General features: G+C 40.3%; 1 protein-coding gene and 1 long non-coding RNA gene across 12 annotated transcripts in view, besides 2 other annotated features; one reads left to right on the top strand and one right to left on the bottom strand.

Moving 5' to 3' along the window:
* CFAP95 (cilia and flagella associated protein 95) overlaps positions 1 to 15,173 on the bottom strand; it is an 85,411-nt gene extending 70,238 nt beyond the window's left edge. For 10 of the 11 annotated variants that reach the window (NR_131756.2, NR_131757.2, XM_011518230.3 and 7 more), the window contains exon 1: positions 14,959 to 15,173. Coding sequence is in view for 5 of the 11 variants with exons in the window: in XM_011518230.3 (XP_011516532.1) it covers positions 14,959 to 15,110 (152 nt within the window). In the remaining 6 variants the exon portion in view is untranslated. Of the gene's footprint in view, positions 1 to 9,483; positions 9,612 to 14,958 lie in introns of those variants that run through there. The other variant, XM_011518233.3, reaches the window with a different exon arrangement.
* Positions 15,198 to 15,257: a silencer, noted in NCBI's record as "silent region_19937". NCBI's record gives its function as "represses an Ori minimal core promoter by ATAC-STARR-seq in GM12878 lymphoblastoid cells {active_cell/tissue: GM12878}" and the evidence as "EXISTENCE:reporter gene assay evidence [ECO:0000049][PMID:35858748]".
* CFAP95-DT (CFAP95 divergent transcript) lies at positions 15,251 to 16,585 on the top strand. Its single transcript, NR_038833.1, has 2 exons — positions 15,251 to 15,340; positions 15,723 to 16,585. It is a non-coding gene; the product is annotated as a CFAP95 divergent transcript (long non-coding RNA).
* Positions 24,283 to 24,577: an enhancer, noted in NCBI's record as "tiled region #12610; K562 Activating DNase matched - State 5:Enh". NCBI's record gives its function as "activates a minimal TATA promoter and a strong SV40 promoter by Sharpr-MPRA in K562 cells {active_cell/tissue: K562}" and the evidence as "EXISTENCE:reporter gene assay evidence [ECO:0000049][PMID:27701403]".

Here is a 27,876-nt window from a genome sequence, read left to right as displayed (position 1 = left end):
GGTCCTGCAGCTCCCCAAGGCTGCCCCAAGCCAGAGGGCCCAGCTCCGTGTCAGCGGAGGAGAGGGTGGGATTAGGTCGTAGGATTCTTCTTACAGGAAAGGAAACAGGTTATACTCTAGGGTTTCTGTGGTTGTATGTTTATGTGGGGCAAGGGAATTGGGAGGTTGCAAAGAAACCAGCATCTTTGTCACTGCCGCACCTTTCATATTGTTTTGTAATTATCCGTTCATGTATCAGCCTTCTCATTTGACAGAAAGCTTCTTAGACACGGATTATTTTTTATTCATCTTTGTGATCTTGGTCTGACACATTGTAAATGCTCATTAAATCTTAAATGATTGACTGATTGATTGATTAGATGAATGTTCTTACATTTTGTTACTGTCACCTTAATATAAATGCTGAAAGCAACGGCTTTCAAACGTGTCCATAAAAATGAAGAGTATCCTGGCTCAGTCTGCAAAAGCACACGTAAAGAGGGAGTAATTATGCATATAGAGATGCTAGTCCTTTGCAATGCTAACTTGTCTCCAGAGAAATTATAAATCTACTTGCTGAATGAGAAAACTTTCAACATACATATGCATAACACTGATTGCAAAGGGGTTTGAATCTGAGCAATATCTGACATGAGAACAATGAAAATCTGAGCTGAATTCTAGCTTGTGGTGACTTGACAAGAGACACACTTTTCTTTGCAGATTTCAAAGATGTTTAAAATGTTTAGTTAAGACTCCAGATGGCAGGATATATTAATTTTAAATTTTAGAATTATTAATGTAGTTCACAACCATGCCGTTAGCTATTGTATTTTCTGATATAAAGCTGGTGAAATGAGAAGCAAAAGATACCTTTCCTATTAGATTTTTATAATCATCTGCTATCTAGAACTTTAAAAGAAAATTACCCTTGAGAGTCAGCTATATTCCCTAACACATTAGAAGCATAAAACCGATAGAATCAAAGACTATGAGACATTGACAATACTCTTTGAAGATTTCGTGGGCAAATGATTTACATGCCAAGGCAGTGTTATTTGGTGGCATAGCCCTCAAACTGATAAATGAAGACTTTCAGGTGTATTTGCAGAATCATAAAGAAAATCTTATGTTCTTTGTAAAAATTGTGACATTTCAGACTTACGAAGAAATACTTTGTTTTTCTATGTGTCTCATGCTGTATGTGATCTGTGCATCTATAACCATGAAACCACAGAATTTGAAACTTAACTGCACTCAAAAGGAAACCATTTGATGGAGACAGATAAGTGAAGTCATCTTCTCCACTGAGCATATATTGAGTGGCACATAAATAAGACCCATCATTATTATAAATTTTCTTCATAGAAAATCTTCAAAACAGAAGGCCCTATGGAAAATATTGGAAGGAATCAAAAGGAATACAACAGTTGGAGGCTTTGTCTATCGTAACAGTTTAAATGTTAAATAAATGTGGTCAGTCTGATTAACTGCCAAACACATGACTTTGAAAACAGCTGAAGGGACATGTATAAAATAGGGCAACACTGCAATTGATAATCCCACCTGGGACACTTTTAGAGGGAAATAAGATGCTAAGTACACCAGGAGTGGTGAAAAACGGGACTGTCATTGTCAAACCAGGGTGAGTACGTTCTGTCACCCTATGGTTAGACAACTGGGTCTCAATAATCTTCAAACCCTAGGATACTTCTGAGTTTCCTTGATCCTCTCCTCCAGAAACAACTTGCAATAGCTGGCTGAAGACACTGGGTGGTGGAAAAGTAGGGCTAAAGAGGGAGTTTTTAAGGGGCACTGTACATTAGTAATTACTGTAGTCTGAAACACCTTGCAGTATACCTGGCATGGAGTGACATGGAGATCAGCCTGCCCCCGTCCAAAACAAAAAGCAAAGAATCACTCAATTACCTGTGTAAGCTCCTATTCCAATAGTCTTAATCTTACTGGCTTAAATAATTTGAATTATTCCAGAATAACATCAAAAGATTACATTATGTCACCTTAAGATCTATTTTAAATCACACTTAGTGATTCCATGAGCTGTGCATATTGAGTAGATAATACAAAGTCTTTTGGTTTCAGGACAATTTGTTGCATTAACATTAGAAAACAAATAAGCTTTTCTTCAGGAATAAAATCTAGAATTAAAACAGACTTCCATAATGAACGTAACTACACAAATGTACATTTTTCCCTTTCCTCCTAGAATTCATTCAAAAACAGCAAAGGAAATGAAACAATTAAAAGCAAATAAATTTTTGGCAAAATCACAAGTTATCATCCCCAGATTATAACATGTACAAGGGCTATTAAAAGCAGCCAAAGTCCAGCTGAGGCCAAGTAGAAGGAGTGCTGAGAAGAGATCGACAAGATTGCACAGAGGTGGCCTCTTGGAGTGCAAACCAAGTTACATTTCCCGCAGCTGCACAGATAAACTCTTTCACCGGAAACAATGGAAAATGTTAGACTAAATAGTATGTATATATTTTGGCCAGGTGCAATAGCTCACACCGTAATCCCAGCACTTTGGGAGGCAGAGGCAGGTAGATTGCTTGAGGTCAGGAGTTTGAGACCAGCCTGCCCAACATGGCGAAACCCCGTATCTACTAAAATACATAATGACGTATTATTAAGAAATAAAAAGAAATGAAGTATTGATAAAAACTACAACACAGATGAACCTTGAAAATATTATGTAACGACTATATGTTGTACAATTCCATTTATGTGAAATGCCCAGAATAGGCAAATCTATAGAGGCAGAAAATCAATTAGTGGTTGCCTGTGGCTCGAGGGCTGAGGACTAGGGGAGGCTTGGAGTAAGGGATAAAGGGAGTGGGATTTATTTTGAGGGGGTAATAAAACATTCTAAAATTGATTGTGGTGATGGATGCACAACTTGGTGAATACTAAAAGCCATTGAATTAAATACACTTTAAAAGGGTGATTTGTATGGCATGTGAATTACATCTTAATAAAATTGTTAAAAATAGGATATAACCATCAAAATAGAAGAAAAACACCTTAATCATTAAAGATTACTTTCCATAACTCTATGCAAATATATATGTAAAGCTAGATGACTTACATGACTTTCTAAGAAAAACTATTTCCCAACGCCCCCAGTAGAAACAAGAAGTCCAAATAGGGAGGGATACCATTGGGAGATATATCTAATGTTAAATGACGAGTTAATGGGTGCAGCACACCAACATGGCACATGTCTACATATGTAACAAACCTGCACGTTTTGCACATGTACCCTAAAATTTAAAGTATTTAAAAAAAAAAAAAAGTTTAGGCCTAAGGCCAGCTGAGAAAAAAAAAAGGTACTGTTAAGGGCAAAAAAAAAAAAAAAAAAAAAAAAAATCCGAATAGACTATTTCTATAGAAGAAATAAAGAAAATTATCACAGAGCTAAGAGTTATTCCCCAAAACAGTACTAGTAGGGAAAAAAAATTCATATTTGTGCCTGAAAGTCCAGCAGGACATTTGGTACACCTTGACCTGCTCATTTGTCAGAGCTACATGGGCAAGGGCTGAGACAAGGAGCAAGACTTACCACATTACACGCGCCACACTGACTTTGACATATGTGGAAACCAAACAATAGTATTTCCAAATTACTTATGTTTATTATAGGATTGTTTTACACACAAAGAAAAATTCAAATTAAAAAACCATGCAATCTTTCCAGACTAAATTTTTCTAATAATGACATAACAACTAATTATTTGTTAGAGGTCTGGGTGGGATATCACAATATCCTAACCTCTGAGAGACTGCTTGCAGTGGTCCGTTGTTGCCTTATTGCATCCCTACAAGGAGAGCAGGTGCCACTGATCTCTGAAAGCTCGGGGTTCTTATACAATACTGAGTGGGGAATTCCCTTTCTTTGACTGGATCTATTAGGAGAGTTGCTGTTCACACCCTTGTTATAAATGGCCATATGCAAACTAACTAAACTTAATGTGTTGACGCTAGATACATGTTAGTTCTGCTGTTTTCACCCATCTGGCTGTTCTTATAGTTTATGGATATGTAAATTAGGCTTCATATAGATAGATGGATAAATGTTGTTAAGATGCTATGGTCACCTCCAGGACTAAGAGTCACAATTCTTACAACCACACATTCTGCATCACAAGATACCAGTCATTACGCAACAAAAAATGCCCACACGTATTTCCAAAGACTCTTGGGGAAAGGGTAGTACTGCTCTCGGTTGGAAACTAATGCATCATACTTTAGTTCTCCTTGGGGATCCTAGGAACCAGGTGAACCTCCTCTGAAAAGCTCCCCTGGTCCAACAGGCCTAAGTTAAAGGCTCCTCTTGGATGCTCCCTGAGCAACCTGCTTACCGCTAATCAAAACACATATCACAGTACATTGTAGTTGCTGGGGTAGCCCTCCCCACTCCTATCTCACAGTAACCTCTAACATCCTAAAGGCAGGGAGGATGTCTTAGTCACTGTCAAATTCCTAACCCAGCAAAGTGCTTTCAACAGAGCAATGGATTCATAAATACACTTTTAATAAATGCAATTAAAAAAAAAGAGTTCTTCATCTGGAAAGAAGATAGTGAATAAAAGCTTAGTGCTTTTTTTAAAAAAAGCTTATTTAATGCTTCTGGATCCTTACTGAGCAATTCAGTTTTTCCAAATGTTTAAAAAATTGTGACAAGTTATTTATTCCTATATTTTAATTTCAAAAAATTTTATCCTATCACTGTCTATAAAAGGAGGCTAAATTATTTGCAATGAAATTTACTTTGCAATAGATAAATGGTATTATATTAATTCTTCCATTTAATTGAACCTGGAACCATCTGATTGGAGATCTAGTAGCTTACCAAATAAACATATTATAATATTTCTGCAATTAATTCTCTTTGTTAATGCATCACAACTTAGTTAAATAAAAATAAAGAAAATACACGGTGTGACCAATAATAACTAAAACATAATTGTATTTCAAATGAAATAAAGCAAACAGTAATAAAGATTAATGCCTATCAAAAACAGTAAGAAGTCTGGATGCAATGGCACACATCTGTAATCCCAGTACTTTGGGAGGCCAAGGTTGGAGGATCGCTTTAGACCAGGAGTTCAAGACCAGCCTGGGTATTAGAGGAAGACTGTCAACTCTACCAAAGAAAAAAAAAGTTTTTTAAAATTAGTCAGGCATGGTGGTGCATGCCTATAGTCCCAGCTGCTTGGAAGGCTGGGGCAGGAGAATCACTTGAGCCCAAACGTTTGAAGTTACCATGAGCTATGATTGAGCCACTGCACTCCAATCTGGGTGACAAAGTGAAACCCTTTCTTTAAAAAAGTAAAATAAGAGTACTCAAATTTATTCATAACCTTTGCAAAGCACTGCAAAGATATGTTTCATCTAATCTCTACACAAGATTTCTGTTTTCTGCCCATTACATCTAAGATACATTTTTTAAAATTGCATTGAGTAGATACAAGTTGGCTGGGGAGGGAGAGTTTAAAGTCAAAATAGCATCAATTGTAGGAAGTCTCCCAATATATTAATAGGTTATGTTCTAGACTTTTGCTGTGAAACTGAGTGTGTAAAATTTGCTATTCCTTCTCCACTGCAGTAACTCTAGGACTGCCAGCCCAGCACTCCTTCCTTCTCCTGGATGCGTCCTCCTTGTTCGTTGCTCTTGGAGAGCTACCATATTTCCATTTGCCCTTGCCTAGCCAGATGACTCCAAACAGGTACTTGGTCCAGGGAAAGACATATGGCCTGGAATTTGTTGAGCCAGAACTGAAAATACCTTAAAGCCAAACTTTCTTTGTGGGATCAAGATGTAAGTTATATATTCCAGAACTGCAGCAGCCATGTTTCCCATACTCTTCCACAACAAGATGAAGCAAACCCACAAAGAGAGAGGGGAAACACAGTAAGACCTGGTAACATTTTCATCCCTCGTTCCAGTTGTTCCTAAGGCCCAGCTTACCGCTGCCTTTCTCACCTGGTAATCAATCATCCAGGAATATCCTGAGTTAATTCATTCTGTTTTCTTAAGCTAGGGCAAGCTGACCATCTGTCACTTGCAACCAAAAGAGCTCTGACCAGTACACACAGAAAATGGTGCGAATGGGGATGGGTTCCCAGAGAAACTCAGAGAAGTGTGTTCAACAATACTAGTTCTAGTGCCACAAAACACCCTGAGCCCCAAGTCTGGGCTTCTCAGTGTGAACTTCTCCTTATCAAAATGTCACGAAGCCCCACATTCTTCTAACTTCCTCTCCCAACCACAACACTCTTACCTAGAAAGAGATAGTCAGTAAGGTAAAAGAAAACAAGCTTGGTGAAAAAGTACCTTAGACTATCTGTGAGAGGAAAGACTACAGCAGCATTACAACAAGGAGAGGACTCTAATGGCTTCCACAGCCCAGTTATGAGATGGTCATAAGGGTAGAGGTTTGGTTTGAGGCAGAGGTACTTCTGTATAGCAAGGATCTTTCCTATCCAAGTTTGCCCGTGTGGTGAAATGCCTCTTCTGTATACTTTGCCTTACCAGGGCTTATCTTGCATGTAAAACGATTTTATTTTTGTAAATGCCAGTTAAGTTGAGCAAACTTTCACACAAAGGTCATGGCACAATCATTCTATAACGATCAGTTTTCAGAAAAAGAATTTGACTGGAATTTCATAAAAGAAAACAGCACTGGAAGAAAAATGTAGTCAGGGCAAAAGGAGGCTGAGTCTCCTGGATTTCATCTTGAAAAATAAAAAATATAGTGCTTTCCCCAAAAAACTACTATATCCAGAAGCATTTGTAGGTAATGTGCGTATGTTGAGGAATGAGAATGTAGGACTAGATTAAAAATAACCGTGGCGTAGGATCCACCGTTGTAGAACGCAGACGAGAATGAAAGGGTGGTTAAACCAAATGAATGTGAATAACATCATCCTTTTTACCCAACATAAACTAACAATTAAAAAGATATTTTTAAAAGGCTCATAATAAACCATGGAGGGTGACTCAGAAGCTGAAAGAAATGAAGTATTGTGTCTAAATTCTGATCCTTTAGAGAATGCTTGCATCCAGGGAAAAGCTGTAGAAAGTGATATCACAAATTTTAAGTTATTTTACTTTATTCTTATTATGAAAATACATGTTCATTATGGAAAATGTAGAAGTAGCAAAGAGAAAAAAGAAAAAGACAAATAATCCATAAATGCACCATCCAGTAATAAGTATCATGTTACATGGTGAATATTTTTTCACTCTCTTTTCAGTGCATATAGACTCATTTATTTTATTTTATTTTATTTTTTGGAAACAGGGTCTGTCACCCAGCTCTGTCACCCAGGCTGGAGTGCAGTGGCTCAGTCTCGGCTCACTGCAACCTCTGCCTCCCATGCTCCAGCGATCCTCTCGCCTCAGCCTCCCAAGTAGCTTAGACCACAGGGGTGTGCCACCACACCCGGCTAATTTTTGGTGGTTTTTTGGTAGAGATTGGGTTTCACCATGTTGCCCAGGCTGGTCTCAAGCTCCTGGCTCAAGCGATCCCCTCACCTTGGCTTCCCAAAGTGTTGGGATTACAGGCGTGAGTGAGCTACTGTGCCCAACCTAGACACATATTTTTAACCAAAGAGAGAATTCCAGTACATGCTGTTTTTTTATACTTGAGATTAATATTTCAAATATTAATCTTTATACTTTACTGAGCCAGCCTTTAAAATAACTTTTGCTCTGATAAATCAGAGATACCCACATTTGCTTTGGGAAAAATTAGGACTGTTTCACCAGAAATCTGAAGAAAAATGGAGTATTATTGATTAACTTCTGACTGACAAAATGAAATTTTTGAGTTCTGAGTGAGATATTTTCTTGAAAGTCAGGCATTGTTGAGAATCAAAAGACCTTCTAAATTCCTTAAGCTTCTATTAACAAGAACCAGAAGCTCCCAAATATACCACAGGGAGGATGACTTTGTAATTTATCTTCTGAAGAACACTTTAGAAACTAAAAGAGGGGCTTTTGGTAAGTCTCAGGCCAATGAGAGTAAACCATCCTGGGCAAACCATGGCATCTGCTCGCTCTCTTTCCAAGGCATTGAGAGGGAAGCTGAGTAGAGTATCACTGGGCCAGCTGCACGCCACCATGTTGAGGGTAGAGGTGCCCCACCACTGTGGCTGCAGGGTGACCAGCCTAAGTCGGGGGCTGTGAGAGGACAAGCCTGACAGGTATCTGTAGTCCCCTGCAAGAGACCGAGTGGGACCGAATCTGGAGGCAGAGACACCAAGTCCTCAACAAACCAACAGGATCAGCCACAAATTCAGCAGCAGCAGCATGCACAGCGGTTGGACCAGGATGAGGCGAGCAAGGACAAGGACCTACGATAGATCTGGAGGCCTCACTCCTCCACCCCCACCAAAATGTCACATAACCTCAGCCCCTCGTACACATACAGATGGTAGTGGGGGAAGGAGAAGGTGGAGGAGGAAGGACTCAAAGAGTGGGCACTGTTCTGAACGAGACTATTTTAACCTAAAACAAGCTGTTAAACTAAAAGAGACAGAGATAAGCTTTAATTGGCATGTTTGAATTTTTCTCTAGTAACCAACAGTTGAAAAGTTTGAGGATTGGTTTTAGAAAATAAATTTTATATATGCATCTGAGTTGTGTGCATATTTCTAATTCTGCTACCCGCTACAGAGTGAATATATTTCCATGTTCTTAGCCTACTATTACATCATCTTAAATGCCTGCATGATATTATAATTTGGAATTTTTTAAAGTATAAATTGAGAAATAAAAATATCTCTTTAAAGTGTAAATATCATTCGTCCCTACATTAACTCAAAACCTCATTAATACCCATCAGTTCTTGATGGTATGACACACACTGCAACTAGGAACAGCACAAGCTTAGCTCCCATTTAAAAATTCTTTACTATTGTAACAGAAGTATATATTATACCCTTCTAAGGTCATTTCTACAGAGGTGTCCAAACATACTTCCATGTTATGCTATTGCATCAAGAGCATGGCTGTGAAAATCAGCCCTGGTTTTAGTGGGGATTTTGTACTATACTGTAGTCTTTTACTTCAAGGCCTCATTAAAATATAAATATAGGGCCCCAGCCTGCAGTACCTTTTGGGTTTCTGTCTTTATTCTTTCTGCCTGCTCATTTGCTCATTTATTTGAGAAACATTAATTGAGCACCTACTGCATTCTTATCCCTTATCCTGAGGCTTGCCCTTCTTTCTGCCTTCTAACTATAGATCCAAAAGCCCCTTTAAAGCCTCTTCCCTCTCCCGTCAAATTTTGTGCTGTTTGCATGGAAACCACATAACCAAACTTAAAAATGTGTACAAATTAAGAGTTAATAAGCTTTTGATTGAGGGCCTAAGTCTATGTTAAAGGCAGAAAGAAGAAAACTTGATAGAAAAGAAGCCCTTGTGGATTTCAGCAAAAAGACAGGCTGCAGCATGTTGTTACCAAGGGTCCTTACTTTTTTTTCTTTGCTTTTTATCGTAGTTCTCGAATGTGTGTTGGAGATGTAGAAAGATGGGATTGCTGGCTAGCAAAGATCTGTGTAACACAAGCTTGGTCTCCAGTGACAGGAGGAACTCTAAATGCTTCCAGGTTAGTACCTGAGAAAATCATTGATTAAATACAGGAAGAATGACACAGCATATTAGAAAATTCAGACACTCTCTTTTCTATTTAAGTGCACTCATGATATCCTAGTGTCTTGGAACTGGGTGCTTCTGTGAATGTGAAGTACCTTAAATACATATAAACTTCCTGTTCAAACAGTGCAGTAGGGTGGGGGGAAGTCTGAAGAGCTTCATGGAAAGATTCCCCTCTTTAATTCTAATTCTAATTTATTGCCCCAGCCCAGATGATTTTGTGTAAAAGTCTTTAAAACTACAAAATTCCCTACCCCACAATTATCACCATAATTCTTCCCTTTTTTTCTGTTTATCTTTCTGGTTTCTTCCTATAGGAGACAGGAAGCGAAACTCCCAGGCTCTTTAATTTGGGGCTTAGGCAGGGAAGAAAAGTAATTAAAATCACAAATACATAAAATTAACCTGAGTCCTTAAAACTAAATGTCACCATGGAGACCAGAGCAAGAACTGTCTCCATGGAGATCCCAATGAATTTGTTTTGCTTTAAATTATTATCACTTGTTACCAGATGTCAATTTGGCCAAGGAAAAGATGAGTATGAATGAATGAATATAAGAATTAGCCTCACATGAGAGAATTTGTTAAGGGTAAGTCTAAATTGCTGTGGTTCTTAGTATTTCATCATTCCAATGAGTGGGAAGATATCCTAACAGAAAATATTTCCCCTTAGTTCAGTTCTAATGGAATCACCTGATGATATGGCTCCATAAATGCTACAGGAATAAGTGGGGTAAAATAATTCCTAGAAAAGGCATCTCTGGCTCAGAAGCATCAAGGTGTGATAAGGGTGATATGGCTCTATCGACCACTTCAGTTGCAAGGAAGAGGTGGCTCTTTGGCAATGTTTTATCCTAGTAACGAACCAAAGGTATCCCCTAAAAAGGATTTTGGAGATATTACTTTATCACGTCTATTATACACAACGGATTTTAATATGAGTAATGAGGTCAAATAGCTCTGTATCACATGCCAGATAAAGAGAAACACAGGAAAAAATATCTAAATGTTTGAACTGTGTTATCAGAGGAAAGTCAGAATTTCTCCCAGATACAGATTTTATTTTGTACCTATATGTACAGTCACTTAACTGATTAAATACTCTGTTGAGAAGCCATGCTAATGGTGTGTTTATAGATATTAAGTGTTCATCAATTAAATAAGAAATCACTAATAAAAGATATTAAAATTTAATAAAAATTTAATCTATCATAAAACAAATCAATAGAAAGCTAACAATTATGACCAAAATGCATAAAAATAAGTCAATGACATCATTCAATTTAGAATTTTACACAACCTGAATTTTATTCAGCTTTGTAGGACAAATCTTGGTGACTGGTTGGATACGGAAGAACAAGTATGCCAGCAATACAGTCAGCACAGAAAATGCTAGTGCTTCTCACATTTCACAGTCAATTCTTGCTATCTTTATATTCTATAAACTTGCCTCAAACACTCAATTAGCAAATACAGAAATACAAGGTTAGGTTTCTGTGAGCCTCTGGTCACAATATTTTTGTCAGTCAAGACATAACCTTGTATTATGTGTGTTTCAGTTTAAAAACACCTTACATAACGTGTATTGTTGATTCATTAACATTGAAATCACTGCCAACTACACTATAATTTAAACCTGAATGAAGCTTTCTAATGCATGCATTTCCTCTGTAAGGTGTGTCACAGTCTTCTTGTGCTTAGCATGATGCTTAGGGGCCATTTTACCATATAGCAAACAAAAAGCACGAAATGCAAAAAAAAAAAAAAGCATTAAATAGAACATGAAAAGGATACTTGTTTACAGTATGAGAGCTGAAACAAAAAGGCAGAGCGTTGCTTGCTTTGTTTGACCTCAGTTGGGAACATGCACGTAGGGCAACTCAAATTTTTTTGCCTTTTTTCCGCTCTGAGAATGTCTACAAATGACCACAAAAGTGCATCAAGTATTAATTTTGACTTACAAATAAATCGTAGCAAGTGGGTGAATTTACAAACACAGAATCCGGAAATAATAAGGATCAACTGTATTTGTCAACTATTGAAAAAGAATTCTGTTTCCTGTGGGGCTGTTCTTTACTATTCCACTGCACTTGCCTGTTCTTTTTTGTCCCTATCCTTAGTTCAAAACCCTGCTCAGGAACCAACCTCCCCACCACACCATTACCTCTGCTTCTTATAATCATTTCTTTTTTGCAAAAATCAGATGATACTGAATTTATTGATATTATTCTCCTTTTCTGCCCTATGGAGCTCCTTGAGGTCAATGGCCATGTCCTAATACATATAACTAACTGTCAGGCCTCTGAGCCCAAACTAAGCCATCATATCGCCGGTGACCTGCACGTACACATCTAGATGGCCAGTTCCTGCCTTAACTGATGACATTCCACCACAAAAGAAGTGAAAATGGCCTGTTCCTGCCTTAACTGATGAGATTATCTTGTGAAATTCCTTCTCCTGGCTCATCCTGGCTCAAAAAGCTCCACCACTGAGCATCTTGTGACCCCCACTCCTGCCCGCCAGAGAACAAATCCCATTTGACTGTAATTTTCCTTTATCTATCCAAATCCTATAAAACGGCCCCACCCTTATCTCCCTTCACTGACTCTCTTTTCAGACTCAGCCCGCCTGCACCCAGGTGAAATAAACAGCCTTGTTGCTCACACAGAGCCTGTTTGGTGGTCTCTTCAAATGCACGTGAGCGAAACTAACTTCTACTGTTCTTAATATGTGGCAGGCCATGTGTTAAAGGGTGTTTTACATATCATACCTCATGTAATCTTATAATAATCCTATCATCCCCATTTTACAGTTGCAGAAACAGGCCCAGAGCAGTCAAGTCACTTGCCGCAACACACAGCAAGAGAGTTAGTTTTCAAACCTAGAGCCCGAGTTTTAACCATTATGCTATGCTAAATCAATAGTGTTAGCTACTGATACGGTTTGACTCTGTGTCCCCACCCAAATCTCATCTTGATTTGTAATCCCCACATCGGGAGGGACCTGTAGTCCCCATGTGTCAAGGGAGGTAGGTGATTGGATCATGAGAGCAGTTGTCCCCATGCTATCATGATAGTGAGTGAGTTCTCAAAAGATTTGATGGTTTTATCAGCGTTTCGAAGTTCCTCCTTCACCCTTCTCTCTCCTGCTGCCTTGTGAAGAAGGTGCTTGCTTTGCCTTTGCCTTCCACCATGGTTGTAAGTTTCCTGAGGCCTCCCAAGACCTGCTGAACTGTAAGTCAATTAAACCTCTTTCCTTTATAAATTACCCAGTCTCCAGTATTTATTTATAGCTGTATGAAAATGTACTCATACAGCTACCCTATATTATTGACAACTTATGATTTTCCTAGAATGATGCTAAATGCTTTATAAAATTTATCTCATTGAATCTGTTTCTCTACCTCTATGTCCCCAACATGTAGCAAAGTGCATGACACACAAATGTATGTTGGGTTGAATTTAAGTCTTCCTGTTCCCCAGCCTTCCTTCTAAAACCAACGCATGAGGTCCCGCTATATTTTCAGCAGCGGCTGGAATGACTTACAGCGTTCCACTATCCTTCTCTCCTCACCAGGTTCCTCACCTTCTTCTCATTTGTGTTCTTCTGTGGTTTTGCTATTGATGTCTGTAACTTTCACAATGCAATTTTCAAAGTAATAGTGGTGCAGCAGAGAGCAGAAGCACTGTCCCTTTGCAAAAAGTCTTTCTCTTTAACAATAACTTCTAGTGGTGATTTATGGTATGACTCAAATCTCTGTGGGGTAACAGAGTCACAGAAGAGCTAAGTGTTTTGCTTGAGAGCTATGAGGTAAGCCCTATATGAGGCTAAAAGAGGATGTTCTGTTTCCCAGTGTAGTTTTGGATTCCAAATCTGTATAACTTCTCATACTGAGTTCAAAGGAGGAAGAGAGACAGTTTCAGGGTTGAGAAGTAAAAGCAGAAAGGTAAACTTGTTGGAAAGCAGGGAATAGGCTTTAGAAAGTTTGCAAGACAGAAACTGCAGGGGTCGCATATATTACATGAATGAATGGGATGAAGTCGGGCTTAGCCTTAGGGCTAGAGTCAAAATCACTCATTTCTTTCAAAAGCAAAAACATAAAGTAGACAAGATTTGTGACTTCTTTTCATTTCTTTTTTTTCTTCACGCCCCTCCCAAATATTCCAACCACTCCAAATGTAATTACTATCAACAGCAGAGCCAGGAAAGTTAATTCAAGGGAAAGAATTTGAAAAGTCCTAAAAGTTTCCACTTTTCTTCCAGTTATACATCACAGTGTTGCTATTGGTCACTGTGATATTTAATAAGAGAAAGTGAATTTCCAGGTCAAGTTCTAAAGCACAAGAAGTAAACCAAATGCTTCTTGGGGCCAAGCAAGAACTTACACGAGGGAAGTTCCTAAAGACAGAACAACACCCATCTTAAGGTGTAGCCAGTGCTCAGCTCTGGTACATTCATAGTTCCCCAGAGAAATAAAATCCTCTCTGGCCAAGACTTTCAAATTTTCAAAGATACAACCCTGGATTTACTGTGAATCTCCTAGTTTTAAATGTGGCCAACTAATTAAAATGAAAAAAAAAAAAAGTAAACAGAGCTCATGCCAAACAATGTCTGTTGGCCTTAACCAGTGGGAGATGCCAGTTTGCAGTCTCTGGCCAGAAAAGTTCTTGTATGTAGCCTAGAAAATATGAGGGGCCTCGTTCAAATCACTCCATGTACACCCTACCCCCAGGAAGTGGCAGCCCTGGAGGCTGGTCCTCTAAATAGGCATCTCCCTCCTGCTGTGCCCCTGGCCTCTAATTCCTTTTATGAGTAAGTGCCTGTGTCAGAAATGTGATTTCCAGGCCTCTGACAGCACCCCCTTTTCACCCCCTATTTATACACACCCGCTCTGTGTGAATGAGCTAAAACCTCAGGTGGCGGGGATTTGGCTGCTGCGTGGCCCAGTGTGTGGCTGGGAGCTGCCCCTGAAAGGCTCTCCTATTTCCTCCTCTCTGCTCCAACCCTCTCTCCCACTCTCTCTATTTCTCCTTTGAAAATATTTCTTTCCCTTTTCTTTCTTTTCTCTCTTTTCCTCCTTCCCATTCCTCTCTCGTCTCATCTTTTTCTCACCTTTCTTCTCATTTCCTTCTTTCTCTACATTTCTCCCCCACTTTTCTCATTCTTTTTTCCGTTTCCTCTGTCGTCTCCACTCCTGTCCCCTCTCTCTGACTCTCCTTTCCTTTCCTGTTCCATCCTTTCCCCTCTCTTTCCTCCCCGCAGCACCCGGGAACTTGCGAGGGGACTTCGCTCACCAGGAATACACCAACACCGGCTTCGAGTATTTCTTGTGATGGGAGCGGAGGGTCAGGGAGCCCTTGCGCTCCACCAAGTCCGGTGGTCCGATCTCCAACCAGTGTTGCTTCCTGTCGCACCAGTCCTGGCAGGATCTGTCAAGGCTATCCATGGGAGCCCTCGAGGTACAGACCTCTGAGGAGTTCCCTATGCACCTGTCCTGCCCGGCAGGAACGTAAGTACCAAGATTCGGCGTCTCTTATCTCCTAAGCAACCTGGGGCGGGGCCAGTGGAGGGGCGGATCCCTCCAACCTGACGGCCAAACGTTTCCTAGACGTTGTCGTTACTGATAAGAAACTACATTTCCCAGAATGCAGTGAGGGTAGCGACCGGGCTACACAGGTGATGAAGGGGGGAACTGCATCCTGGGATCCGCAGTTTCGCCTGTCCACCCGCCAAATCCTAAGAGTGGCTGAGCGCAGTTATTGGGGAGTGGTAGGTCAGTTAAGGACCAAGGGAAGAGCAAATTCCCTGAACCCCGAGTGGGTCTGTTCGGGCTGTCTTTAGAGAAGTTCTTTTGTGTGTGTGTGTGTGTGTGTGTGTGTGTGTGTGTGTGTGTCCGAGTCTCACTCTGTCGCCCAGGCAGGCTGGAGTGCAGTGGCACGATCTTGGCTCACTGCAACCTCCGCCTCCCAGGTTCAAGCGATTCTCCTGCCTCAGCCTCCCAAGTAGCTGGGATTACAGGGTCTCGCCACCACACCCGGCTAATTTTTTGTATTTTTAGTAGAAACAGGGTTTCACCATGTTGGCCATGCTGGTCTCGAACTCCAGAACTCAAGTGATCCGTCCGCCTCGGTCTTCCAAACTGCTGGGATTACAGGCGTGAGCCACCGCGCCCAGCCTTTGGGGAAGTTCTTTTTACCGTCCATCATCCATTGCCACCACACCTTCTGCTTACGAGTTATTTATAATAAGTTTAACTAAAAGAGAACGAGAGAACATCCCCTGAAACCCAAAGTTTGTCATTCTATACAGCTTTCCTGCCTGCAAAAGAGGAGGAGCAGACTCATCCAGCAAATCACCTAAAAAGTTTGAAGATCAAAAAGCCTAGCTCCAGTTTCAGATCCTTCCCCTACCTTTCTGAACACTAGTTTCTTCCTCTGAAAAACGAAAGAGGGAACGGGACCGTAGAGTGGAGTGGGCACAAGAATCGCAAGTCCCTTCTGGCTATGACGCTGCAAGACTCTAGGTACAGTTTAGGACTCCGGGCATTCAGATCCCCGGGACTTGTCAAGTTCTCCTCATTGACATTTTTGATATTTCGTGACAACACAAATTCATCACATTTTTGTGCTGTGTGTTATATGTGGGAAGGAGATTTTAAAAAGATTGCCTTTTGAAGTTATTGGATAGCTGTGTTACAGAAGAAAACATTGCCTTCAAGAAGTTATTGGATAGATATGTTACAGAAGAAAAGACGTTTGTTTCATTTTTGACTTTGCAGGAAAAGAATATGTAACACATCAGAATTCTTCTCTCCTCCCTGGCCTTAGTCGAGTACCTGAGGGGCATTAAAGCACTTCCTCCTTGCAATCACTTACCCAGCATAGTCCTTAATACAGATATCTTCATTGTTGAATGAATGAATGAATGTTCATTATGTTTGATTACCTTAGGTTTACTTTCCAAAAGTGTCTTACTTGAGGAAGACCACATCTACACAAAAAAATCAAACTTTAAAACAGAGTAAGAGACCATTCACACTACAAATAGATTCTCGGTTTATAAAAGATGTGTTATAGTGCTCCCATAAATAGTGAGGCACTCTTCTGTATCAGATGGCACAAATTTGATTACATATAACTACTAAGTGCTTTTCCGTGGTCTGTGGTTCATAGTGTGGGTGCCTGTGGTATGCTAAGGTCTCTATTTTACTGACAGCCACAGTTAAAATATATTTCTTAAAACCAAATAAACAGTCCACCATCACCAGCCAAATGCTAGGAGAGTGCTGACTGCTATTTTAGCTGCTTTCTTCTAGGCAGAATGAAAAGAAAAACATAAGTTAACTTTAAAAGGGGAAATATGATCCATGTCAAGCTCAATTCTGTCCAATCAAAGCACAGAATATTGCTGTTGTTCCAAAAATATTATCATCATTGCTGTCATCTGTTCATGTGTTCATTTTACTTACGTTTAGAGTGGCGGTAACATAATATATGTGAAACCAATATGTCAGATCTCTGCAGACAATTTCTCTCAAAGATGGAAGCTGCCCAAGGCCAAGCTCTTTCCACAGTGCATAAGTACCACAGAGATTTAAAAGCTTTTCAGCACACCAAGGAGCAATAAGTTAAGAAAACATGCAAAACAAACATAGCTGGTTATTTTAGAGTTCCTTAAGCCAAGCCAACCACCTATTAGAGTTTGTGAATATGCTTTTTGTTATACTCACTTTCCTGTTTGTATCAAATTTATAAACTTCATTGTCTTCTGTGTCTACTAAATACTTTTCAACATCCTTGTCCTAGGATTTAGGATACTAATTCTGTGATATCCTCGAGTTTATGTGCATTCCATTCTCTTTGTATACACCAATACATACTGTAGAATTTTGGTTTCTTGATTCTTTATCAATAAAATAGGAATAGAACAGCACTTATTGCAGAGGGTTTTTTTGTTTTTTTTTTGTTTTGTTTTTTTTTTTTTTTGAGATGGAGTCTCACTCTGTCACCCAGGCTGGGGTGCAGTGGCACGATCTCAGCTCACTACAAGCTCCGCCTCCCAGGTTCACGCCATTCTCCTGCCTCAGCCTCCCGATTAGCTGGGACTACAGGCGCCCGCCACCACGCCCGGCTAATTTTTTGAATTTTTTTAGTAGAGATGCGGTTTCACCGTGTTAGCCAGGATGGTCTCGATCTCCTGACCTCGTGATCCGCCCATCTCGGCCTCCCAAAGTGCTGGGATTACAGGCGTGAGCCACTGCGCCCGGCCAACGGTTCTTATTAGAATTACATAAGATAATAAATACATTGAAAGCAGGTAGAACAGTGCCTAATAGATGCTCAGTCCTCACTTAAATTTAAACTTCTGCTGCTAGTATTATTACATCCTGACTTTGTCTTTATCATTTGTAAAAATATCCTAAAATGTGGTGGGTTTTTTTGTGTGGAGTTTCCTATACTCACTGTTTTCAACCTTTATCTGTTTACAAGCTCTTTTTAATGAATATCTTTTTTATTCTAGTTTAATATGAAATTTAATAGCCTGGATCAGAAAAATGTAGGCAAGAAATTTGGATATGGTACCAGCGATAACGATAAATTTGCATTCCTATAGAATCCTTTCTCTTCAAGACTATAAGTAAGTTTTATACTTTTTAAATGTGAAATCACTGATCCTCAACATACTTGAGTTATCCCTGTTTTCCTCAAACTTTATCAAACCACTGAAGTATAGAGCTTAAAGCAATGCCTTCTATTTATATTAATCCCTTCGTGCTGTAATATCCCTATGGTGAGAAAACTAGGGCTCAGGTTGGGGAGGAATTGGGACTTTTCTGTAAGATAAGTGTAGGCAGGCCAACTCAGGAAGTGAGCTTATGCTAATAAATTTCCTTATTAGCTTTATCAGATTCCTGAAGAGATTGCCAAGAACTGAACAGGGCAGCAAACCTAAAACAGATGTAAACCAACCAGATGCAAACGTCTGTGGGGGCAAACCTCTTTGCCATCTCCTTTCCCTTCCTGTCTTGATCTGTGCTCAATTCCTGGAAAAGCCCCTACTCAGGATCTCCTAAAGTCTCCAGTAGCATGTTTTCCCCCACCATTAAAATTACTTCTCTCTATCAAATGTCTTTTAATTATGCTGAGAGACAAGAATTTAACGTTGCTTAAGAAAACTAATTTGTACTATCTCTATGTCAAATACAGTTTAAATATATTAAAAACTCCTGTTTAAATTGTATAGCACTCAGAAACTAAAAACTAAGCAGTGATGTCCTAATCAAGGATTGTATAGTTTTTTTTTTTTTTACTACTCCAGGAATAGGGACTTCCTGTTACTCACATATACATCTGTGGTTTTCCTTTTGAGTATTCTTTACAAAAAGTTGGAGTCCACCTGCTACGTCAAAATGAATAAGAGGTTCTTGCTCAGAAAAGGGGGGATTGGGGGACACACTGGGGCTGGTGAGGAACCAGACCTCCCCATCTCCAGCTCCCCCCATCCCTATTTTCTTTCCCCTCTTCCTCTCTCTTCTTCTTTTGCTTTTTCCCACTTTCCCCCTCATCCCTTACTTTTCCATGTCCTACTCCTTTTCTTCTTTCTTCCCCTATTTCTCCCTCTCCTCCTCCTCTCTGTCTCTCTGTTTCCTTCCTCTCTTCTTCCAACTTTGAGAAGTAGTATGGATTTTGGAGTCAGAATCTATTGTTGAAAACCCAGGTACAAATCAAATGAAAGAAAAATAATCAGATCTAGAAACCAGAGCCAAAATTTATATGAATAAGTTTATGTCTCACAACTCTCAAAGGAATCAACTTCAGCAAAACTTCAATCTTCTTTCCTTTCCTGTAACTGTAACTACCAACAGTCTTTTTTAGAATGATTTTAACCTTGAGTATGATTCCTCTGTGCTTCTAATTTGGACTGTGAATCAATTTGGCATCTACTTGTCCTTAAGCCATTATCACTAACTAGCATTGATTAAGTGCTAACATGCAATAGGCATTATTTCTGGAACTCCTACTGTCAGCATGGGGGATTAATTTATTAAATATTCAATGTATACTATAATTCAACATTTCCTTCATTTTAATATCTAATCCAGCCAATAAGTGAAATACCTTGACAGAGTTATTCATAATTATTATGATAAATTTTAATGCCCAAGATCAGTAATGACATAGTCTAGCATAAAGGTGGCTTAGGGACTTTTAAAATATCCTATAAGTTGGATATCCTTAATTATTCAAAGACCGAATATCCATTTTCATAAAATATTCTCGTTATTTTCTCCCCAGTGCTGCTTTGCTTTTTGGAAACTTCGTTGTTGTTGTTGTTGTTGTTGTTGTTGAGACAGAATTTTGCTCTTGTTGCCCAGGCTGGAGTGCAGTGGTGTGATCTCGACTCACTGCAACCTCCACCTCCCAGGTTCCAGCGATTCTCCTGCCTCAGCCTCCCCAGTAGCTGGGATTACAGGCGCACAGCACCACGCCAGGCTAATTTTTTGTGTTTTTAGTAGAGATGGGGTTTCACCATATAAGCCAACCTTCATTGTTTATTAGCAGCAAGAATGAAACAATTTAGCTACCAGTTAAGAGTTCTTATGAAAGGAGTGGTACTTGAAATTAAACTCCGTATCCTTGTGGTTTTCTTTGTTCTCTGTGGCCTTTAATCTGGTTGAAGGAATCTCATCTCTCAGGGAAAAAGCTCAGAGAAAATCAGGGGGGTGGGGCAGGGCGTCTTTTCTACTCTGAGGGTGATGGAAATTTGCCCATATCCCTGACAAGCCCTGCCACCAACCATGTGGTGAGCAGGCTGGTAATGAACTGACTGAGAGGCTTCCCCCAGAGGGTCAGGTGTGAGCAGGCAGTTCTGGGTTGTTGCGTAGAACAGAGGCTGTTCTAGGATGAGGACACCTAGTCACCAATCTGGGGGTAATGGAAGGTTCAGGGAAGAAGCTGGAAAATTTCTTGACCTTGTCTGAAAAAGAAAAAAGTACAAAAGGAAGTGAAATTTTCCCTGCTTTTTGGGTTGAATTTTAAGTAGTCATCTAATTGCTTTAATATAAATGAGGTCCAGAGAGTTTCCAAGTAAAATGATAATTTCCAGTTAAAGTTTCTATAATAGTAGTGATTCAGCTTTGTTTTTTTAAGAGATGGAGTCTTGCTATGTTGCCGAGGCTGCACTTGAACTCCTGGGCTCAAGTGATCTTCCTGCCTCAGCCTTTCCACTAGCCGGGACTGCAGGCTCAAACCACTATGCCTAGCATTGAGCTAGTATACTCTTGATGACAAATGACAGAAAGTTAAACTAATTAGGTCAAAAAGAGGAATTTTTTGATTTACATAACTGGGAATTCCAGGGGTACGTCTGGTTTAAGCACATCTGAATCCCAGGGCTTAATAATGTCTTTGGGATACTGTCTCTCTATTTCTTGGTTCTGCTTTACTTTTTGGGTTGGCTTATTCTCAACCAAGCCCTCTCCAAGATGGCCATTGACTTACATTATTCCCTAACTCCCCACAACATGAAGCATTCCTCTTCCTTCAAGCTCTAGCAAAAGTCTTGGTCACTCGTTGACCTGACTTGACTCATGCAATCTACTCTGAAAATGTCACTAGAGTCAGGCCCAGAGGTAATGTTGTACTTTCTCCAGCTGGGTCTGTGTCATGAGGTTAGACTTGAAGGATGATGCCCATCCCTTCTAAACAATCTGGACTGAAAGTATGGAATTGGACTAAAGGGAAAAATAGGTTGCTACTTCCAAAGTAAGGGAAAGTGTGCCTGACAGGCAAAAATAATAGATACCCACTGCAGATAGTAACAATAAGACATCCCAAGCTGGATTTTGGCCTTGTGAGACCCTGAAGGGGAGAACCCAATTAAGCCTTTCCAGAATTCTGTCCTATAGAATTGTGAGCTAATAAATGGGTGTTGTTTTAAGCCATTTCATTTGCGGTGATTTTTAATGCAGCAATAGAAAACCAAAATGATATTTCAGAAAGTAGGGTTTAAAAATTGTTTTTGAAGATGATGAGTAACATCTTGAGGTACAGGAACTATCCCTAATGAGCAGGAAATGGATTAGGAAAAGAGGTAAATGTTATCAGATGGCCCCCTTGTGATTGACATAGCAGAAGAGGAGGGCTGACAAGAATTGACTAGTGTATATCCTCCAACAGCATGAATGAGCCTATGTCTTGTAATCTTTGCCAAAAGATAATATTTTTATTATTTCCATCAATATAAAATTATATCCTTTGTGCTATGTTAATTATTTTGACCTGGAATTATCCTTGTTTGATATTAATATTGCAACATCAACATTTTGATTATTGGTGGTTTTTCCAGTGCATCTTGGCTTATCTTTTTATACTAAGCCATCTAGGATTATTAGGATGGGTTTCATTTATAGAGAGAGAGTATAATTAATCTTTGCTTATAAAAAATGTTCAAATCATTTCTTTTGGTTGTGATAACTTATTTTTTGTCTGATGACATCTTTTTCTTGTTTTTCAATGTTTTCTCACTTTCCTTTTATTTCTCTGTTGTTTATAGACCAGACTTTAATTGCTATTGTATTTTCATTACTCTTAAAAGCACATATTCTATTTTTATTTTTCTAGTAGTTCCTATGAAGCTTTTCACTTTCTTTAATCTGTACTTCTCTATTTATATTAAGATCAAGAATGAAATGTTAGCTTTTGACATTACTTAAGATGGCAGTGCTGAGAACAAGGTATGACATCAACAAATGCTTATTCTATTAGACTGAGTTGAAATTAGTTTTTCTCAATCTCATTTGAAATTATTTGAGACATGGGATTTGTACAACATCTCAGACAGCTCAGAGAAAAAAAAGCAATATGGTCTCTGATAATGCAAATAGAAATGTTTCTAAATTAGTAGTAAGAAAACACTGCCAAAGTTTCATTACTTTTGCTTACTACTCTTTGTTGAGAGCCATCAAAGTGCTACATTTTTAAATGTATGTACAAAAATAAGTTTGGTAGTTGACAATCAATCTCTCTTCCTGTTCAAAGAAGACCCAAAGCAGAACTGTTAGTTCATTTACCTTCAAGTGCCTTTTGCTTTTTTCTAATCTAAACTCCCACACATGGAATGTAGCAGTGCCTCCACAATTCCCAGAAAGTTTCTAAGCACCTGCATGTGGCGTCCTGTCCAAGGTCAATTTGACTGTCAGAATTTATTGTCATCAAGCCCTTCAGCAAGTTGTGCACCTTATCACTATGGCTCCACAAATAGTTTTATTTGAGTGATATAGTCCTAAATCACCTAAATCTGAGAGTAATAAAAAGCAGTTTCAAAGATTCACACAGTAATTTCATTAAGGTTTCTAGATAAAACACGATGGCCATGAGGTGGTTTGGGAGAAAAAACAGTTGTCACTTCTGTTTGCCTTTCATTTCCTGCCCATGTTCCTTTTTGAACTGAAGGATAAGCTGTATAGCTGACCTAAGGGTTTCTTACCATGAGTCTCTGAGGCTACCAGGAAACTGACCCTATTCTGGCTCTGCAGTGTTAAATTTAAGAGTATGTATACTTGGACCAGAACAGAATCCAGTAGTCTGGAGAGACCAAAGGTGATAAATGAGGACTGTTCACACCTAGGTTTACTGTACTGTATTGTATTGCCCCTTGTAATCATTTTTTGTGTTGTATTGAGAGATTGAATATACAAATGAAAAATGACCAGACCACACATAAAAGGAGAACTCTGACCCACAGCCTGTAACAACCGGCCCTGGAACTCAACCAGCCCAGGAAGCCAGCCTGCTATAAGTCAGACTTGTGGAAAGTCAGACTACTATCTCCATTGACAGTCTTGAAAGCCAAACGATGGTTCCTAGAATAATCAACCCCAAATGGCCAGGACTTTGAGGTAGGAGATTAGCAGGACTTGTCCTCTAAGCACCAGTCATGACCCTGCTGATAAAACAAGATGTAGCAAAGAAACTGACCCAAAACTGCCAGGACTAGGAACTATAACACATTTGCATAAGACACTCCCACCAGTGCTTTGACAGTTTACAAATGATGCCATGGTAATGAACCAGAAGTTGCCTTATATGGTTCTTGGAACTTGTCGTCCCTTTTCCAGAAAGTTTGTAAATAATTCGCCCTTTATTTAACATACAATTAAGAGTGGGTATAAGTACAGTTAACCAGGAATTCACAAGTGCTAGTCTGGTCCACTCTAACTATAGGGTAGCCCTGCTGTGTCTATGGCGCAGGCATTTACGTGTACACTGTTTCTCTAATAAACTTGCTTTCTTTCCCTGTTGGCTTACTCTTGAATTCTTTCCTGAGAAAAGCCAAGAACCTTCCCAGGTGAAGCCTCAATTTGGGGGTACACCTGCATCAGCCTAGTGACCATGAAGGGATGAAGGAACAAACAATACAAACAAGACAAACAAGACAAGGACTCATTACAGGTGGGAGCTGTAAGTCTATAGGGCTTTAATGCTATGGAGCTGTGCAGCAGTAGCCAAAGCATCCTTTCAGAGCCATTATGTTTCCTGGTGACTAACAGGCTGAGGGAACCTGAGGGAAATCTTCACCCATAACCCAAATTAAAACTGATCGGCACCAACTGGCTTCCACGGATGGCTGAGTCTCTCTTTTGTTCCCCATTGATATCGACCTTTCTGGGTGAATGAGGAAGTGGAAACAGGACCTCTGGCTTGATAATTTGTTATCCCCTGTCATTTAGGTGGCCCAGAAGGGAGCATGACTGGCATGTTTTTGTTGCTCTTTCTCTCAGACCTTTCTCTTTTGCGTCTCTAACGGCCAGCCATTTTACTTTTACACCAATTTCATTATCGCATTTGTGGTCTTTGCTTTGGCTATGGGAACAATTGTTTATTTTGAGAGGTTTTCGCATTGTACTGATTGTGGAACACCAGAGTCACATTGTTCTGTGGCCCCAGTTATGTTAGGTCTTGGGTCTTTGTGGTTCACTGTTGGCCAACCCTCACATGCCCCAGGGTTTTTGGCATTTGGGAAAGGGACCCTCGTTGGCCAATGCTCCAGGTTTTTTGGCAGTAGGCACCCTTTTAACGTTGTTTGCCTTTGTCATACTGCTCATTTCAGTAAACACTTTCTTTGCTTTTTGTAGAATTCAGACTATGAGAATCCCATTACCCTCTCCTTCTATATTTTCCTTGTTAAAACACCTCTTTTGTCATAGTCCACTTACTGGTAGAAGCAGTCACCACTCCACTGCCCAGTCATATCTCAAAATTCACTTTTGTCATGCCCTGCTAACTGTATTTATGCCCCCTTTGCAAGAATTGGTGAAAATTCCCCTACTGACCTTTCTTGAGGAAAAGGGAGGTGGGAATCTGAAAGGGAAAATAAGTGGGCTCTCGCTAGACTTAGAAAAGTTTCTGCATCTAGTACAGATCCTTGCTAAACATGGGGACGACAACCAAGCATCCCAAGGGACTCGCTGCTAGGATGCCTTTTAGGCAATTGGAACAAATTCCAATCAGACAGCACAAAGTGAAAGAAACTCTTTTTCTATTGCAACACCATTTGGGTTCAATACAAATTGGGAGACCAAGAAATCTGGCCTAAAATGATATTATTTATAACTGGACTTATTCTGTAAAAAAGGAAGGAAAGTAGGGAGAGGTTCTTTATGTACCGGCTTTCTTTTTTTTTTTTTTTGAGACGGAGTCTCGCTCTGTCGCCCAGGCTGGAGTGCAGTGGCGCGATCTCGGCTCACTGCAAGCTCCACCTCCCGTGTTCACGCCATTCTCCTGCCTCAGCCTCACGAGTAGCTGGGACTACAGGCGCCCGCTACCACGCCCGGCTAATTTTTTGTATTTTCAGTAGAGACGGGGTTTCACCCTGTTAGCCAGGATAGTCTCAATCTCCTGACCTCGTGATCCGCCCGCCTCGGCCTCCCGAAGTGCTGGGATTACAGGCGTGTATGTACCGGCTTTTATGGCCCCTTACCAGGATCCGGACTTAAGGGACAACTGTAGGATTCGTGTGGCTCATCTCACTTCCAGGCACAAAGAAGCCACACCAGATATCCCAGATAATGCCCTCCCAGTGACTCCTCTCAGAAGGCCCGTGCCTCCTCCCCAGTGCCGAGCCTCCTCAGTTCCCCAATTCTGAAGTGGCTCCCATCCAAGGTTACCAAACACCCTTCTCCCTTATCCAACTAAACCCAGCCTGTAACCACTGCTGCCCAAGGAAGTAAGTCCAACCAATACCACCAAGAGTAGGTCCCCATATCAGCCCCTAAAACTGAGCCTGTGTCCATTTTGAGAGGTAGCTGATGGAGATGTGGGGACAACCAGTATATGTGCCTTTTTCTAAGTCTGATTTGACTTTACGCAAAGAGAAATTTGGTGAGTTTTCAGAGGACTCAGGGAAGTTTGTAGAATAGTTTGTTAAGTTGACCATGTCCTTTGACTTAACTTGACATGAGTTACAAATATTATTGTCCACCTGTACTCTACTTTAGAGGAGAAAAAGGGTTCTGGGAACTGCCTGTGAATATGCAGATGGAGTGGCTGCTCATAACTAAGGCCATGCCATTTATCGTGTGAGGGGAGATCCAGTTCCAGATCTGGACCTTCTGTGGTATTACCAGAGGGCTTCCCAAGACCTCAAATGCTAAATCACATGGTAGCTCGTTTAATTGAAGGTATGAAAAAGTATGTGGTTAAGCCACTCAATCATGAAAAGGTTAGAGAAGTAACTCAGGGGAAGGACAAAAATCCTGCTCTGTTTTAGGGCTGTTTGGTTGAGGCCCTCAGGAAATATACAAATGCAGACCCAGACTCCCCGGAAGGGCGCCATCTCCTGGGTATAAATCTTATTACTCAGCTTGCTCGTGACATTAGGAGGAAGCTGCAAAAGGCAAAAATGGGACCTCAAACCCCTATGAGCCAACACGTAAAGATGGCCTTTGGAGTTTACAATAGAGACAGGGTAGAAGAGGCGGAGAAAAACAAAAGAAATAACCAAAAAGCACAATTGTCCGTGGCTGCCTCAAGCCCCTTGCCACCTGAAGGTTACCCATTCCGACTAAGTGTAATGAGATCAGCATCTGGGATGCCCAGATGAGAGCCCTCAACTTGCTGGCCCTTGGGCCAGAATCAGCACACCTTCTGTAATCAAGAGTAGCACTGGAAAAGAGACTACCCCAGGCTCCCAAGAGAGCCTGGGCCACCCAAACCCATAACGGCCAAGACAACAGAGGCTGACAGGGCCCAAGGTTCTCTTCAGCTCCCACAGGATACCTTACCATCTCCACAGAGGAGCCCCCGGTAACCCTTGATGTGGCAGGCTGAGCAATGAAAAATAATTAAGCTTTTCCACAACTCCTCACATTTGGGATGGGATTCTCTATTCAAATTGGTTTCCCAAATATTCCTGGGGAAGGGACTATTCCAGGCTGCAAAAGGATCTCCAGGGCCTGTGAACTCTGTGCTCATAATAGCCCAGAAAGCCACCCCATGCCCCAACCCCTGCTCAAACCTACGTTAACACCAAGAAATATAACCTAGGGAAGACTTGCAAATAGATTTCACCCAGATGCCATTTGCTAGCACTTGTAGACATATTCACCAGGTAGATAGAAACTTTCCCTACAAGGACAGAAAAAGCACTGGAAGTGTGCAATTTCTTACTTCAATCATTCCAAGGTTTGGATTACCAAAAAGTTTGCAAAGTAATAACAAACCTTCATTCACAGCTAGGGTGACCCAGCCTTAGGCTTCCTCAGCCTCAGGCATTACCTATCATCTTCACTCCTCATGGAGGCCTCAATCCTCATATAAAGTAGAAAAAGCCAACCCTGTTTCAAAAAGGATATTAACGAAGCTCCGTCAGGAGACCTTGGAGGCCTGTGTTTCTCTCCTACCTATAGTTCTCTTGCACATAAGCATGGCTCCAAAGGGAACATTAAAACTTAGCTCATTTGAAACGATGTATGGGAGGCCCTTTTTAACTTCAGACCTCCTGTTTTATGAGGAGACACATAGAATACTCACCCATATTATCAACTCAGGTCAGGTTCAAAAGGCCCTTCAAGATTATGGAAATAAAGTATTGTTATTCTCCACAAAGGAAAAGAATAGCATCCCTGTTCAACCAGAAGACTTAGTCTTACTAAAAACTTGGAAAGAAGGATCCTCTGAGGATCAATTACAACTGAAATGGAAGGGCCCCTA

This window comes from Homo sapiens, chromosome 9 (genome assembly GCF_000001405.40).
Source record: "Homo sapiens chromosome 9, GRCh38.p14 Primary Assembly".
NCBI classification, from domain to species: domain Eukaryota; kingdom Metazoa; phylum Chordata; class Mammalia; order Primates; family Hominidae; genus Homo; species Homo sapiens.
The sequence above is the reverse complement of the archived record's forward strand: the minus strand, read 5'-3'. Positions and strand labels throughout refer to the sequence as shown.